Here is a 15537-nt window from a genome sequence, read left to right as displayed (position 1 = left end):
TCTCTGTCTGCATGAGATAGGAGCTGCACTCCTCTGAATCGAGACGGTTTTGAATTGAGACGGTTTTGAATGTCTATGTAGAATGCAGCTCGCCCTGCAGGTATTGCCTGTGTACATGTCTCATTTGGAAATGGTTCCCCTGAGGAATGAGAGGATGAACCCACAGAGTCTTTTGCTCTCTTATTCACCTGGGAGGTGATGTTATTCATCTATTTCCTAGATTTATTTGTTTTTTTGGTGTTTTTTGTTTTTGTTTTCGTTTTGAGATGGACTCTTTCTCTGTCGCCCAGGCTGGAATGCAATGGCGTGATCTCAACTCACTGCAACCTCTGCCTCCCGGGTTCAAGCGATTCTCCTGCCTCAGCCTTCTGAGTAGCTGGGATTACAGGTGTGCACCACCACACCTGGCTAATTTTTGTATTTTTAGTGGAGACCGGGTTTCACCATGTTGGCCAGCCTGGTCTCGAACTCCTGACCTCAAGTGATCCACCCTCCTCAGCCCCCTATAGTGCTGGGATTACAGGCATGAGCCACCATGCCTGGCCTTATTTCCTAGGTTTAAAGACAAAACTAGCTCGTTCTATTGTTTCCATCGACACAATTGCTTCCCCAATATATAATGGGCATTTGTTGCTATTGTTCTGTTTGTTTTGGCGGTCCAGCTTCCAGCATCCATTCTATTTGGGAGGATTCCCCGGTGACTCTTGGCAGGAATCCATCAGCCCCTCTGGAAATGGAAGGAATGGAAGGAACCAGGTGTCCCTCTTGTCCCCCACCCCTGCAGAGGTCACAGCCTTCCTATCCTGCCCAGCCCAGTGGGGCTTTGAAGGCTAGGGTGCAGGAACAGAAGAGAACTTATTTTTGGCCATGGCAGCTAGGCCAGGAGACCATCTGTGAGAGTAGCATCCTGTGTCCTGTGGCAGCAGTCCCGGCCACGGTATCCTCACCACAGCCTGGCCACAGCTTGGCCTCGCCTGCATCTCCTGCTGCCAGCCGCCTTGATACCTGCCCATTTTCCCCATGCGGTTCTCCAGCCTTCCGACTGATAAGTTCTGCACATATTTCCCCATGTCCATTGCCTGCACGAGTCAGCCAGGTCAGCTCTGTCGCTTCCACCAAGACCTCTCACTGCAGTGGCTGTGCTGAGCTTGCAGCTGACGTCTGCTCTACAGTGTCAGCACTTGGGATTCTTCTTCTGTTGGGGGTCCCTGAAGGTGGGATTCCTGGCCTGTCGAAGCATTGCTGTGTGACACATGCCAGATCCTTGCGGTTGCCTGTGAAGCTCGGAGCCCTCCATATCGAGGGAGGAAGGCTTTCCTTCCAGCAAAGTCTTGTGGCTTTCAGCGAGAGCGACTATGCAGCAGCCAGACCAACTACAGAGGTCACAACAACAACCCCTGTCCCGATGACAATCCTGTGATTTTCCTGGCTCAAAATGAAGTTTGACAAGTCTTGTTTTATACTCTTGTCATCACTGGGATTTCTTCTGACTTTACAAGACCAACAGGAATTGGAGTCAGACTCACAGGGGAGCCTGAGAGCCTCTCTATCCCACACCGCTGTGGGAGCCACGCCCAGGTGGGGCCAGGGCTGCAGAGGGGGAAGCTGGGAATGGCTGGGCAAGGATAGAGGCAGCTCAGCTTCCCCTAAGCCTGGGGTGGCCTGAGGGGCCCCCTGCACTATGCTGGAACGTACCTTCCTTTCCAAGGAAGGAAAACAGCAGCTTCTGACTCATGACTGTGTCCTCCTGCAGACAAGTACACAGCTCATCCCCTCAGAGTGTCTGAGTGCTGAGCTCACATCTCATGGTGGGGTGTTGCGGCCATGTCGCTGCCCCATCCCACGGGCATGGTGAGGATTCTGTTACTGCACACTCTTTAGGGTCCTTTATAGTTAATAAAATATTGAACCACTTCCATACTGGTTGGTAAACAGCTGCTGCCCTGAGCTGCCCCCACCTCCGACCCAGTGGCCACCTGCCCATCATTCTCCTGGTCCTTTCCCAGGACTGGCCAGGTGTCCCCACAACCTAGCAGCTAAGGGTCCTACCTGGCACAGATTCTGGTGGGTCAGGGCCCATGGTTAAGTATTTGGGGGTATCACCCCACCCACGAGTGTTCTCAGCACGCACTCACTCCTGCCTCTTCTCTGGTCCCCACACACTCAGCCACCCTGTCCCACCTCTTCTCACCACCAAATTAATATGCTCATCCTTCTCACCTCATCCTAGCCCCACCTCCTTCAAGAATCAGTCCTGAGTCCATAGCCCCTGCATCTCCCCCTCACACCCAGAGCACTCCGCCTCCTACAGATAGCGCTTCCCAAATACGTCTCTCTCAAAGCTCTTTATGAGTCTTCAATATTTCCTTGGCCGGCTGGCCGATTGATTGGTTACAGAGCCTTGCCTTCTCATTTTCTGGCAGCAGATAAGTGAGGCCGGGACCTCTGGGGCCAGAGGCAGAGAGGCAGAGGTCCCAGGCCACACCTGAAAAGGCCGCCTGAGAAGGGAAGTTTCTGAAAGAGGCCAAGCAAGAGGGACCCCAATGCTGGGGCACTGTGAGCAGTGCTGAGCTGGTCAGTGGTCAGAACAGGTAAACTGGTGGGGCTCAGGCAAAGAGAAGGTCAAAGTGCAAGTCACACCTGGAGCAGGCGGGCATGACGCAAGGCCAGCTCAGCCACAAACCCCGTGTTGGGGGCAGGTGCCTTCCCTCTGGATCAAGATGTCCTGGAAGTGATTGGCTCCTGTTGGACAGGCAAAAGGTTAAGCAACACTCATCCTAGCTTCGAGCTGTCCCTCCCACCGACCTGAGTGGCAAGGAAGTTGCAGGGAAGGGGGCCTTGCTCTGTGCCACAGCTAATACCTGAGAATAGAATTTGGGAAACTTGAATCACAGTTTCCCATAACGTGTCGCGATTGCTTAGAAACTACGTGTCTCCCCTCCCCACAGTCGTCGGGGATCAGTGGCTCCTGACGCGTTTGCTTTAAATCTCTCTGTTCCCTGCCAATTAGCCAGTTTGACTTTCTGCTGTGGCAGGGATGAAAGTCACACTATTCAGCGCTAGACACGGATGCTGGGGGAGGAATCTCATTGCTGTGGAGATGGAATCTGGGCTTGGCACTGCCTGTTCAGCTGCTGAGTGTTACTTTGGGTTGACTCACAGCCCAGCATGAAGCAGGAGGCCAATCTTCGTGCACTCCACAACTCTTCCCTCCCCAGCTTTATCCAGACTGTGTCTTCTGCTGACCAGCTGTTTACGCTTGTACTTGATATGCGCTTGCCAAAGCCTGCAGCATAGAAGCCCACAGCTCAGTCCAAAGCAGCCAACCTTCGGCCTACTAGGATCTTAGCCACACCCCAGAGTCCCAGAGAGAAGTGACTCAGGTTGGACACAGTGGCTCCAAATGACCTCAGGTGACTCACAGCAAACAGATTAAAGGTGACACCCAGTGTCTCACCTATCAACTCAATTTGTCATTGAGTTGGCAGCCATGGCTGCCACCATTTCCCAGCTCGTTCACCCAGCTGTTTTTAAATATGGGCACACCAGCTTAAATCCCAATCTTGCCTGTCCTAACACCACAAGTCTCAACTCTGGCTGCAGGTTAGAATCACCCGAGGAGCATTTGAAACCACTGAAACCCCAGGCCTCCCTCCTGCAGAGATCTCAATCTAATTGGTCCAGGATGGGCCTGGGCATCTGTATGTTTTCAGAGCTCCTCAGGTGGGATGTTTGTTTGTTTGTTTGTTTGTTTGTTTGTTTTGTAGAGATGGAGTTTCCCCATCTTGCCCAGGCTGGTCTCAAACTCCTGAGTTGAAGCGATCCACCCGCCTCGGCCTCCCAAGGTGCTGGGATCACAGGTGTGCGCCACTGTGCCCAGCCCCCAGGTGGTTTTAATGTTCAATGGTCCTGAGAACCAGGGATCTGCCATCCAATTCTGTGAGGAAGGAGGATGCCAGACAGATATGCTATTTTCATATCCAATTCAGTCACCAGCACGTCTGCAGCCTGGCTCATGCCTTCAGTAGAGGACCTTCTGGTGTGAACACTTGCTCATTTCTGACCCAGAATCTTCCATAAATTTTTCTGCATCCAACTCTTTCTCCTTGGGTTTTAGTAATCTGTAAGTTTCTGCTTAATTTTCTGGATTAGGAGTTGAGAGTCCCAGCTTGTGAAACACACATTGCCAAAAAACCTAGTTATGGAAAAACTGGCTGAGATGAGAAAGATCTTGTTCTTACATAATTATGGATTCTCAATCTGTTCCATTTTGTTTATATTTGTTTCTCTGGAGAAATACTTTGTTATACATCATATATATTTTTTGATCTATATATATCTTTGTTTTAGCTTTATTAACTTTGGAGACTCGAACATACACAAAAGTAGACAGGATAGTATCATGAACTACTACAAACCTACCCACTCTCCTGCCCCAGCAATGGCTTAACCCAGCCCCATCCCCACACCCATCAGTTCACTCCATCTTCTATTATTTTCAGTCAAATACCAGATATCATACTATTTTATCTGTGAATGTTTTAGCAGATCACTCGAAAAGAACTTCTTGGGTATCATAACCACCATTCTACTGCACAGCAAAACTAGCAATAATTCCTAGAATTTAAATTTCCCAATTGTCTTAAAACTGTCCTGTGTGAATTATTAAAAAGAATTTGAGCCAGGCACAGTGGCTCATGCCTGTAATCCCAGCACTTTGTGAGGCCAAGGCAGGTGGATCACCTGAGGCCAGGAGTTCGAGACCAGCCTGGCCAACAGGGTGAAACCCCATCTCTACTAAAAATACAAAAATTAGCCGAGCGTGGTGGTAAGTGCCTCTAATCCCAGTTACTTGGGAGGCTGAGGCAGGAGAATCACTTGAATGCGGAAGGCAGAGGTTGCAGTAAGCTGAGATGGCGCCATTGCACTCCAGCCTGGGCAACAAGAGTGAAACTCTGTCTAAAAAAAAAAAAAGAATTTGAATCAGGGTACAAATGAGATGCAGATGTTGAAACTGGCTGATATAACTTTTTAGTCTGTTTTAGTCTATAGATTACCCCTCCTTTTTTTTTTTTTTTTTTTTTTTTGAGATGGAGTCTGGCATTGTTGCCCAGGCTGGAGTGCAGTGGCTTGATCTCGGCTCACTGCAGCCTCCACCTCCCGGTTTCCAGTGATTCTCCTGCCTCAGCCTCCCAAGTAACTAGAATTACAGGTGCTCACCACCATGCCTGGCTAATTTTTGTATTTTTAGTAGAGACGGGGTTTCACCCTGTTGGCCAGGCTGGTCTCGAACTCCTAACCTCAGGTGATCCACCCACCTCGGCCTCCCAAAGTTCTAGGATTACAGGCGTGAGCCACCACGCCCGGCCTCCATGTTCCATTTTTGAGGAACTGCCAAACTGTTTTCCAAAGCAGCATCACCATTTGACATATTCAGTTTGATGAATTTTTACACATAGTACACACCCATATCCCCACCACGAGATCAGGAATAGGGCATCAGCACTCTAGAATCCTCCCTGTCATCCTTGCACTCTAAAGGTAACCCTATTTTGACTTCTGTCACTCTGGATTAATTTTGATGGCCAGGACTTGAGAGGTGATCCGAGGAATGCTTCCACTGGAGAACTCAGCGTTAGCAAAGGCACAATGGCCGAGGCAGGGCAACCCCAGCTTTACATTCTGCAGGACAGGGACCCAGATTCTCTTGTGGTCCCACCAAGGCCTGGTGAGCAGGCAGGTCTCCTCCTCCCCTGCCCCGCTTCCTGCACAGCCAGCAGAACTTTTCAAAGGAACAGCAAGCAGGGGGGCTTCTTAATTGGGATCCCCTGGGAGGCAGAGGAGGAGATCCATGTGCGCGATGACTAAGTTTCATCCTAATGGAGGACTTTAGCATGCAGTGCCATGGCAAAACCTGGCTTGCGGTGGGAAGGGAATCTGTCCTTGCATGGCCCTGGCACAACTGTGTCCCCGGGCCTGTTAGGCTCTGCTCACCTCCTACAGCAGGCTCTTTAGGAAAGACCCAGGCTCCCAGAGCCCAGCTCACAGCCGCTGAGGCAGGACTTTCTGAGCAAGTCTCTCCTGACCACAGGGAACTGCTGTGTGGGCAATTTGGCAGCAAGGGCATCTGTTCTGCAGGGCAAAATGCTAGAGAACCAGCTGGAGAACCATGCTGCATGGGGAGGGCTCTCAGGTGGTGGCCCCTGGAGAGTCAGGCCTGCTGCAGCCCCATTACCTTGAGGCCTTTCTCCCAGCTCAGCAGTTCTCTGGCTTCCAGCCTTTTCCCTGAACTGACCTTCTGTCTCTGGCCTCACCCAAGCACACATGCAGAATGACACTGAAGTCACTCAAAACTGCTAGAGATATTTACCCCTGATCTGCAAACCCCCTAACTTGCCAATGATCTTTCCATCCCAGCCCCTAACTCTAATTTGCTTCCAAATTCCATCCTCAGCACAGTCTGAAATTGTCACTCCCCTCCAGCCCACTGCCTGGGAACTTACCAATTAGAGGTTAATTTGGGTACTCATTAAAAGATGCAAACAGGCTGGGTGTAAGGGCTCACACCTATAATCACAGCACTTTGGGAGGCCGAGGTGGGAGGATCACTTGAGCTCACAAGGGGTTGGAGACCGGCCAAGGCAACGTGGTGAGATCTCCGCCTCTACAATAAAAAATATTTTAAAATTAGCTGGGCATGTGCTTGTAGCCCTAGATACTCAGGAGGCTGAGGCAGGAGGATCACTTGAACCCAGGAGGTTGAGGCAGCAGTGAGCCATGATTGTGTCACTTCATTCTAGCCAGGACAACAGAGCAAGACCCTGTTTCACTCAAAAAAAAAAAAAAGATGTGCAAAGTCCCTGGGAGGGCTGGTCTGTCCCATATCAGGGTGCTTTCTTTTAAGAGATTGAGCTCCTACCAACACTGAGCTGGGAAGAGCAGCAGCTGCAGACACTTGGCTTTGGGGCGCCTCACATAATGCTGTGCTCTGCAGAGATAAGTCTCGGGTCCAGGTCTAGAAAGGGAAATAGGATGATGCCAAAACCAAACCTTTTATGGTTCAGTATTTTGTGTACACCAGGGCCGGGTGCAGTGGCTTCGCCTGTAATCCTGAGCTTTGGCTGAGGCTTGAGGCAGGAGGATCACTTGAGGCCAGGAGTTTGAGACCAACCTGGACAACATAGTGAGACCCTGTTTCTACAAAAAGAATTAAAAATTAGCCAGGTATGTTGGCATGCACCTGTAGTCCCAACTACTCGGTACTATTTTTTTTACTCAGGAGGAAAAATAATAAAATAATTATAAATATATATATACCATGATGGGATTGAAACCCAGCTTCTTTTTCTCTCCAGTCCTCTCGCTCCTACTTGTCTCCCTTCCTTTCTCTCTCTTCTCCACACTGTCCTTCCCCTATTCCTTTTCTCTGACCCTAAAACAGAAAATAGTCTCATTCCATTAAAGATATAAAACAGTTTTTTTTTGGCGGGGCGGGGTGGGGCAGCAAACTTGGAATCTAACCATTGTCACAGCATCATTTTATGGAAAAAACACCTCGTCCAGCCCTGTACCTGGCCCATTGCAGGTACTCAACAAATGCTAGTTAAGTAAATAAAGGAATGAATGGAAGTCCCTTTATTGTGAGTTCCGAATACGGATTTGGGGTGTCCTTTTGGAACTGATCCCTCTGTGAGGGGCCACTGGCTTTCCTGTAGGCACAGATCAGCGGTGTCAGTCTTCCTGGGTCCCCCTGAAAATTCCAAAGAGGAAGCCATGGTGGGACCGCGTGGGACGCAGGGTCTAGACTCCCAGTCTGGTCTGATTTTCTTGTTTGCATCCTTGCCGCTTTTCCTTCTGGAGAGTTCAGTGGGCAGGGACTGATGGGGCCACAGCGCCCTCTGCTGGCGTGTTCTCACAGTCGACTTTTGCCTGCCCGAGCTTATACATACAGCGCCCTCGGAATTGGAGGGCTTGGGGCAGACTGAGAATGGGGATTTCTGGTTTTATTCCAGGCCCACTCCTTAGTGAATGTCAAGACCAAAGGTGGCTCCTGGTAATAAAATGAGTGTCAGGGCTCCCAGGCATTAATAACCTAAATGAGAGTAGGTTTTGTTTTTGTTTTAACAGCCTTCCTGGTCCAAGTGCCTGAGAAGTGTCAAGGGGAAATGGCTTCTTGCCCGGGCTCAGCGCTGTACCTCTGATGTCAAATTGGCTCTCTGCCTGCTTTTGAGAGGTGCAGCCTGCTGCTCCCTAAGTGAACGGGGAGCGTTTTCTCCAACAGCCCTGTCCATGACAGGCCTGGCTCTCACACACAGGCAGGGGCTGAGCCTTCCCTGATCAACACGAAATCTGGCCCTCCGACAGAGGCCCGTGGGCAGCTGAAGAGGAAGCCTAAAGCCTCACTACCTGCACCAAGCCCTTCTCAGCCTTCTTTCAGGATTGCAACAGCAGACAGGGGAGCGCTCCTGGGTAGGGCGGGGGGCGGTAATGGCAGGGGAATGACCCCCAGGCCGTGGGCAGCCCCTTGTTCAGAGCGAGGCCCCCTGTTTTCCATACAGCAGATCCCATTGCTTATAGTGGTGACTTTAGTGTGCCCTGGAAGGGCTCACCCAGGAAGTATTGTGAAAATGCAGATTCTGATTCAGTAGGTCTGGGGTAGAGCCTGAGATGCTGCACCTCCCACAAGCTCCCAGACAGTGCTGATGCTGCCGGGCCGGGGACCACATCGAGAGAAGCCAGAGTGTCCAGGAAACAGGTTCTGAAGTCAGAATGCTAGGATTCGAATTTCAGCTCTGCCACGTATCCTGTGACCTCAGACAGATTATGCTCATTACCTTCTCTCTGAGTTTATTTCATCCTGTATAAAATGGCAAGAATGACAATTTCAACGGCTGCATAGAATGACAGAGGGACTTCACAGGGTTGTCATAAGTATAAAATGAAATAAATAACCAGGCGTGGTGGCTCACGCCTGTAATCCCAACACTTTGGGAGGCTGAGGCAGGCAGATCACAAGGTCAGGAGTTCAAGACCAACCTGGCCAACATGGTGAAACCCTGTGTCTACTAAAAATACAAAAATCAGCCAGGTGTGGTGGTAGGCACCTGTAATCCCAGCTACTCGGGAGGCTGAGGCAGGAGAATTGCTTGAACCCGGGAGGCGGAGGTTGCAGTGAGCGGAGATCACGCCACTGTACTCCAGCCTGGGGGACAGAGCAAGACTCTGTCTCAAAAGAAAAAAAAATGAAATAAATAATATTAGAAAAGCTCTTAGCCCAGAACCCTCAGTGCCCAGTAGATGGTAAGTCTCTTGATGTCCACGTGGCCTTTCGACAGGTGCTTATCGATCCCCTGCTAGTGCCTGGCACTGTTCTGGGCCCTGGGATATGGCAGTGACAGAAACAAAATCTCCACACTCAAAAAGCTTAGATTCTCGTAGAAAAAGACAGACAATAAACAAATAAGTAAACTGTATGGTATGTGAGTTGGTGACAAGAGTGCTGGAGAGAAAAATAAAGCAGACAGTAAGAGAGATAAGGAATGCTGGGACTGGGGGCCACTGAGAAGGTAACTTTGAGGCGAGGGAGCTGGCCGACTGGAAGGCTGAGAATTCTAGTGATGGTGGTGGCAGGGTGGTGAGAGGGGGTAGGGTTTGCAAGTGCAGAGGCCCTGAGGCAAGAGGGTATGTGTTGTGTTTGAAGAAAAACAAAGAAACCAGCATGGCTAGAAAGTGCAAGTGAAATACTGTACAGGGTTAGGGATGGGGAAGGCAGCAGGGCGGATCCTGTAGGGCTTTGTGAACCATTGACTTTGCATTTTGCTCTGAGAGAAGTGGGAAAACACTGGAAAGTTCTGAGCTGAAGAGTGACATGTTCTAATTTATGTTTTTAAAGGACAGCTTCAGTTTGCTGAGACTAGACTGTGGCAAGTCAGAGTAGCACCCCTTGGGAAGGTGGGTAGGCAGCCCGTTGCCATGGAATTGGGGGATCCTCAGAGCTGCTGAGTTTAAGAGAGATGGATCTGGGCCCCAGTCAGAAGTGTTGGATGCCTGAGCCCATCCTCAGCCACCTTCTGGGCTGGCCTGTGGCCTGTGACCCAGGAGAAGGAATGTTGTGAGTGGGCACTGGGCCAGTGCTGTGGCAGTGATGGGATGGATGACACAGTCTGGCCTCCTCCTGGGCCTCCCCTCTTAATTGCTCCCAGATGACTCACCCTCATGTTTCTCTGATGACCACATGCGTCAAGGCCTGGGGCTGCCGCACCTGTTACCTATGGGAGGGCTGGGGTGAGCCAACTGCCCCTCACTCTGTTGTCATTGGCCACCAGGTTGACAGGAGTGAGATGCTGTGTTACAAGGGACCCACCCCTGTCCTCTAGAATAGCCAGTCCTGATCCCCACCCACTCACGTTTTCCTATTATTTTATTTCCTACCTCCTCTCAAAATAACTGTAAGTCATTTGTTTATTTTTTAAGGTAGATCAAAATTCATTTCATTGCAGGCCTCGACATGATAAGTGTTAGTCAATGTGTCAGAAAACTGGGTCTGTGAATGGAAGGCCTTTGATCCAGGAAAGGCAACTCTGACCTCATGGTTACTGTCAACACAACAGTTTTTAAAAAATCTAATTCCTCCATATATACTCATTTAATTCTCACAACACTCCTATTAACTAGATGTTATCACCCCTACATTCTGGAGGAATATGCTGAGTCTCAGAGAGGCTAAGTAACGTGTCTGCAGCATCCACCAATTTGTATCTGGATCCGGCTGGCTGTGACCTCTGAGCTCCTCCTATCTCACCTGCTATCTCTAAAAGAGTTGCTGGCCCCAGAGGGCCACAGGGCAAAGGGAGCAAAGTGCTGGGCCGGGAGCCAGAAAACCTGGGCTGTAGTCCTGGCCTGGCCACAGCGGAGGGCGCCTCGCCACACACCTCTGGACCTCAAACCCCTCACCTGTAAATGGAAGAGATTGACCAGACCATCTCCAAGATCTCTTCTGTGTGGCCTTAGCTAAGGCTTGTTTGGTGATAACAGAAGCCCACTCTGCCTAAACAGGAATGGGTGATATAGTCCAAGAGGCCAGGGGGTCCCTCAGAGCTAAGGTGGGAACTACAACTGGACCAAGAGGGCCTGGGACCCGGAGAGTGGCTCTTGCAGCCCCCTCTTTGGATTGCAGGGCCTTTCCCTCCACTCCTCCACTTCATTCTTCTCTTTCTGTGAACTGGTTTTCTTTTCCAACAGATCAGCTTTTTCTGCATCTTCAGCTAACGGTGGCAGATGGCAACCCAGCTCCCAGTTACATATCTTCAATTCTGGGGCCAACTGAGCTCTCACCAAATTCCAGTTCCAAATCCCCAGGGAAAGGAATCCAACTGGGTGAGCTGGGTTTGGCATCCACCCCGGTCCAGTCAACCGGCTCCTGATTATGTCCAGGAGGGCAGGGTCCCATGGCACAGAAGTAGGGGCCTGGGTCAGGGAGATGCCCACCATGGCTCTGTACACAGGACAGGAATAGTATTTTTAGGAAAAGAGACAAAATTAAGTATCATTCTGTCCCAGAGGAGGTGACATTGAGACCTACGAATAAAGCACAAGCTTGCCAGTAAAGCTGGCCTGTGCGCAGTGTCAGCAGGAACGTCTGGCGGTGGCTCCCTGCAGGTCTCTCCCCAGGGGCACAGGAAACAGCTTTTTGACAGCCAGGCAAGCCTGTCCCTGAAACACACACAGATGTCCTGTTGCCTGTGAGTTGGGTGACATGGGACTGGGGCATGAGGGGGCTTGGGAAAGATCAAGGGATGGGGAAGGCAGAGACCACTGCCACCAGTCCTCGGCACTGAATTAGAGCTGCAGCATCATTTCCATAAAGAAGTTAGTGCCTCAGCAGATTGTGGCAGCTCAGTTTCCCTGATGACTTTGCTTCTGTTCTTAAAACTGGCACCTACGTAGGCTGGGAGGCAGCCTTGCTCATCCCGTCTGCCAGCCTGGCACCATGGTGATGTATGTATATTTCCAGATATGATCTGGGATGGACACTGGATAGTATGGAGAATTTTCTTGGGATCGCCCCCAAACCTGCACAGTCCCGGAGGGCTCCATGTGACAGGAGACCCCTGTTGGCACCCCAGGACCCTCGGGGATGTCCACAGTCCCAAGGCCACAGAGCCAAGAGGGCAGGAGTGGGTCAGAAGGGCCAACATGTGAATCTGTCAGGCTAGGCAGCAAAAGTTCAACCAAAAAATTTTTCCTCAGCCCCTGCCAAGTGCAGGGTTCTGACCACCATGCTGAGGATGAAGATGAAGACAGCATAAGCTCTGCCTCTAGAAACTGACAATCTGCATGGAGAGGAAAGACATATGCAGGTTGGAACAGTAAGATGGGAAACACCTCTACACGGCCGAGTGACCTATTCCTTGGGTCAATGAGGAGCTGTTAGAGCAGAGGGCAGTGCAGCGGGGATGATGGGAGATTCCTGGAGCTCAGAGAAGAAGGGGAGTGAAGGCAAGGATATGGGAATGTGAAGGGCACATTTGGGACCCTAGAGTGTAGGGTTTACAGATAGGAACGGGGGAGAAAAGGTGAAAAATAATATGGGAAATGCAAGGCCTTGAACGGCAGGTTAAAGAGTGTGTCTGTTATCCCACCAGTAATCAGCCCTGGGGATGGTTTTTGAGCAAGACGGTGAGTTGCAGAGTAAAGTAGTAGTTCGGGAGGAAATCTCTGGAAGTGGCGTGGACAATGGATTCCAGGCTGTGAGAAGAAACTCCTGGAGTCAAGAGGACTGGGTCAGAAGCTACTGGACATAGCTCAGGATCCAGACACTAAGAGCTTGGATTAGAGTGTGTATGGGAGAGGGGAGAATTCAGGAATAAACATTTGAAATGGTTAAAGGCCATGGGACCCAGGTGCTCATTTGCTATGGGAGATGGAGAAGATGTGAAGCTTTAATGACTAACGTGGTACCAAGGGCAGAAAAAGGGCATGCTCTCCACAGCCACGCAGCCATCAAGTGGCAGGGGCAGGGCATAATCAATGAATTCTACACAGTCTCTGCCCTTAAGGGACTCACATCCTCTTTTTTCATCCTCAGCTCTTCGGAAAAGGCCCTAAGAAGCCATCAAAGATATGTCATGGAGGAAGCCATCGAAGAGGAAAGAGGAAGCTTTGTAACAGGTACTTTACCTGTATTCTCAGAAATCCTCAAAATAACCAAAGGAGCTCTGGGACCAGCTGCTCAGGGCAGGGGGCTCTGAGCTCCACAGCACTCCAGGTTTCCTCCAGGGATGTTTAGTCCAGGGCACCAAGTGGACAGGCAAACAGACAGGCTGGTGAAAGCCCTGTGGGGGGATGAGGTCCAACCTTTGGCTGGAGATCAGCCTGTGCTCTAGCTGTCAGAGAACTGAGCAAAGACAAGGACTCCCATCAGCAAGTCAGACAGAGAAGGGTTTGGGGACACGGGGAAGTTTGGTTTTGGCTGTGTTGAAGTTGACAGGATGATGAGGCCCTGAAACAACAGGTAGATCCAAGCTTGGGTGACAGGTCAGGGCTTGAGTCCAAGGCTTGGGGTCACCTGCCAGAGACCGTGATTTGAGGCCACTGGTCAAGTTCATGCTTCTTTTCTTTCTTTTTTTTTTTTTTTTGAGATGGAGTCTCACTCTGTCCCCCAGGCTGGAGTGCGATGGTGCAATCTCGGCTCACTGCAACCTCTGCCTCCCGGGATTAAGTGATTCTCCTGCCTTAGCCTCCGAAGTAGCTGGGATTACAGGGGCCCACCACCATGCCAGGCTAATTTTTGTATTTTTAGTAGAGATGGGGTTTCTCTATGTTGGTCAGGCTGGTCTCAAACTCCTGACCTCAGGTGATCCACCCACCTTGGCCTCCCAAAGTGCTGGGATTACAGTCATGAGCCACCGCAGCTGGCCAAGTTCATGATGCTTTAGAGCAAAGTTGACATTGGTACCTCTTAAACAAATTTATATTCCCTCTCAACCAGTTTACCTGGGAGGAATAACAAGCTGCCATATGAATACTGATGAGAAAGGAGGTGGGAGAGACATTTGATCATCAATCAAGTTATGATTATGAACACTCAGTTAAGAAAGAAATGTGAAGTCAGTGTTCCTGAACATGAAGAACAAGACCAGGGGTTGGGTTTTGGAGTCACACGGACTTTTTTTGTTCCAGCTCATTTGTCTTTTTACCCATTAATAAATTAATCTAAACTCTAGATTCCAGAGCCAGTTTGATCTCTTTCAGGAGGCCCTGTGTCAATTTGGTTTCGACCTCCTGGTCCTGAGGGTTGATACTGAGTGCTACATACTCATTCACTGAGCAGTGTGTTAATTCTGGGGCTGCTGTGTTGAGTGAGACAGACTCAATTTCTACCCTCCAACTCCAAGAAGGAAGTGAAGTAGGTCCCTAGAAAAATGTCAGGTAATTAAGGGAAAAGCCTAGGGGTCATCCATGTTGAGAATGGAGGCAGATGCTATGGTCTGAAAGTTTATGTCCCTCAGAACTTGTATGCTGAAACCTAACCTCCAAGGGGATGATGGATGGTATTAGAGTTGGGGGATTGGGTCATGATGGCAGCACCCTCACGAATGGAATTAGTGCCTCTTATAAAAGAGAGACCTCTTGCCCCATCTACCATGTGAAGACACATGAGAAGATGCCATCTGTGACCCAGGAAATGCCTGCATTAGAAACCAGATCTGCCGGTGCCTTGAGCTTGAACTTTACAGCCTGCAGGACTGTGAGAAATAAATCTCTGTAGTTTATAGGCTGCTCCATTTACGATATTTTGATATAGTAGCCCAAACTACTAAGACAGTGGAGGAAGAGTAACCAAGAGAGATACAAAAGAAGTTAGGGGTAGAACAGGAGTCAAGGAAACCGGGGAATTCAAGGAAGATCGATTACTCACCAGGGTCAAAAGCAGGAACTCAATCAGAAGAACAAGAGCTGCAGAAGGGTCAATAGAATTGGCTGTCAGGAGGTGACGAGCTTCCTTTAGGGGAGCAGCTTCAAGAGAAAAGCAGGCAGAGGACAGGCATTCAGGGCTAAGCAGAGTAGGCATGGGGAGGCAGGCAGGCCCTTTCGTACACTCCTCAGTGAAGAGGAAGCAGTGTAACCCACCAGGCACTGTGGACTAAGGAAAGTGTTCAAATATAGGGAAGAATGGACAGAGGGCAACTGGGAAAATGGCTTTTACTTAGATTATTTTAAAGAACAATCTGGACTACCAACAGGAGAATAGAAAAATAGATTATGAGGTAGACACAAGATAGAAACTTCATGGCAGTTAAAAAATAATGAATTACTGCTATATACAAACAATATGCATGAGTTGTACAATTTTGAGCAAAATAATACATAACATATTATCCCATTTATGTCAACTTTAAGAACAGGCAAAATAACACAAAATGGTAGAGATTAAAATAGTGGTAACCTGGATATGGGGCAAATGTGAGCTGGGAAGAGGGGATGGAAGTGTTCTAGAACAATTCCAGTCATGTATCTGTATGTAAAAGTTCATCA

General features: G+C 49.7%; 1 long non-coding RNA gene across 5 annotated transcripts, besides 1 other annotated feature; it reads left to right on the top strand.

Moving 5' to 3' along the window:
• Nucleotides 2801-4000: an enhancer, noted in NCBI's record as "P300/CBP strongly-dependent group 1 enhancer chr1:178505524-178506723 (GRCh37/hg19 assembly coordinates)". NCBI's record gives its function as "activates an origin of replication core promoter dependent on BRD2, BRD4, P300/CBP, MED14 and CDK7 cofactors, with strong dependence on P300/CBP, by STARR-seq in HCT116 cells {active_cell/tissue: HCT116}" and the evidence as "EXISTENCE:reporter gene assay evidence [ECO:0000049][PMID:35650434]".
• Nucleotides 7657-14224, top strand: LOC105371631 (uncharacterized). Of its 5 annotated transcripts, none has more exons than XR_922310.3 (5): nt 7657-8053; nt 11242-11376; nt 12250-12359; nt 13088-13170; nt 13991-14224. It is a non-coding gene; the product is annotated as an uncharacterized LOC105371631 (long non-coding RNA). The 5 variants fall into 5 exon arrangements; XR_922309.3 differs by lacking the exon at nt 7657-8053 and adding an exon at nt 8808-8921; XR_922308.3 differs by lacking the exon at nt 7657-8053 and adding an exon at nt 9201-9300.
• Nucleotides 14225-15537: the final 1313 nt, after the last annotated feature.

The sequence above is a fragment of the Homo sapiens genome, chromosome 1 (genome assembly GCF_000001405.40).
Source record: "Homo sapiens chromosome 1, GRCh38.p14 Primary Assembly".
NCBI classification, from domain to species: domain Eukaryota; kingdom Metazoa; phylum Chordata; class Mammalia; order Primates; family Hominidae; genus Homo; species Homo sapiens.
This window is presented reverse-complemented; position numbering and strand designations above follow the sequence as displayed.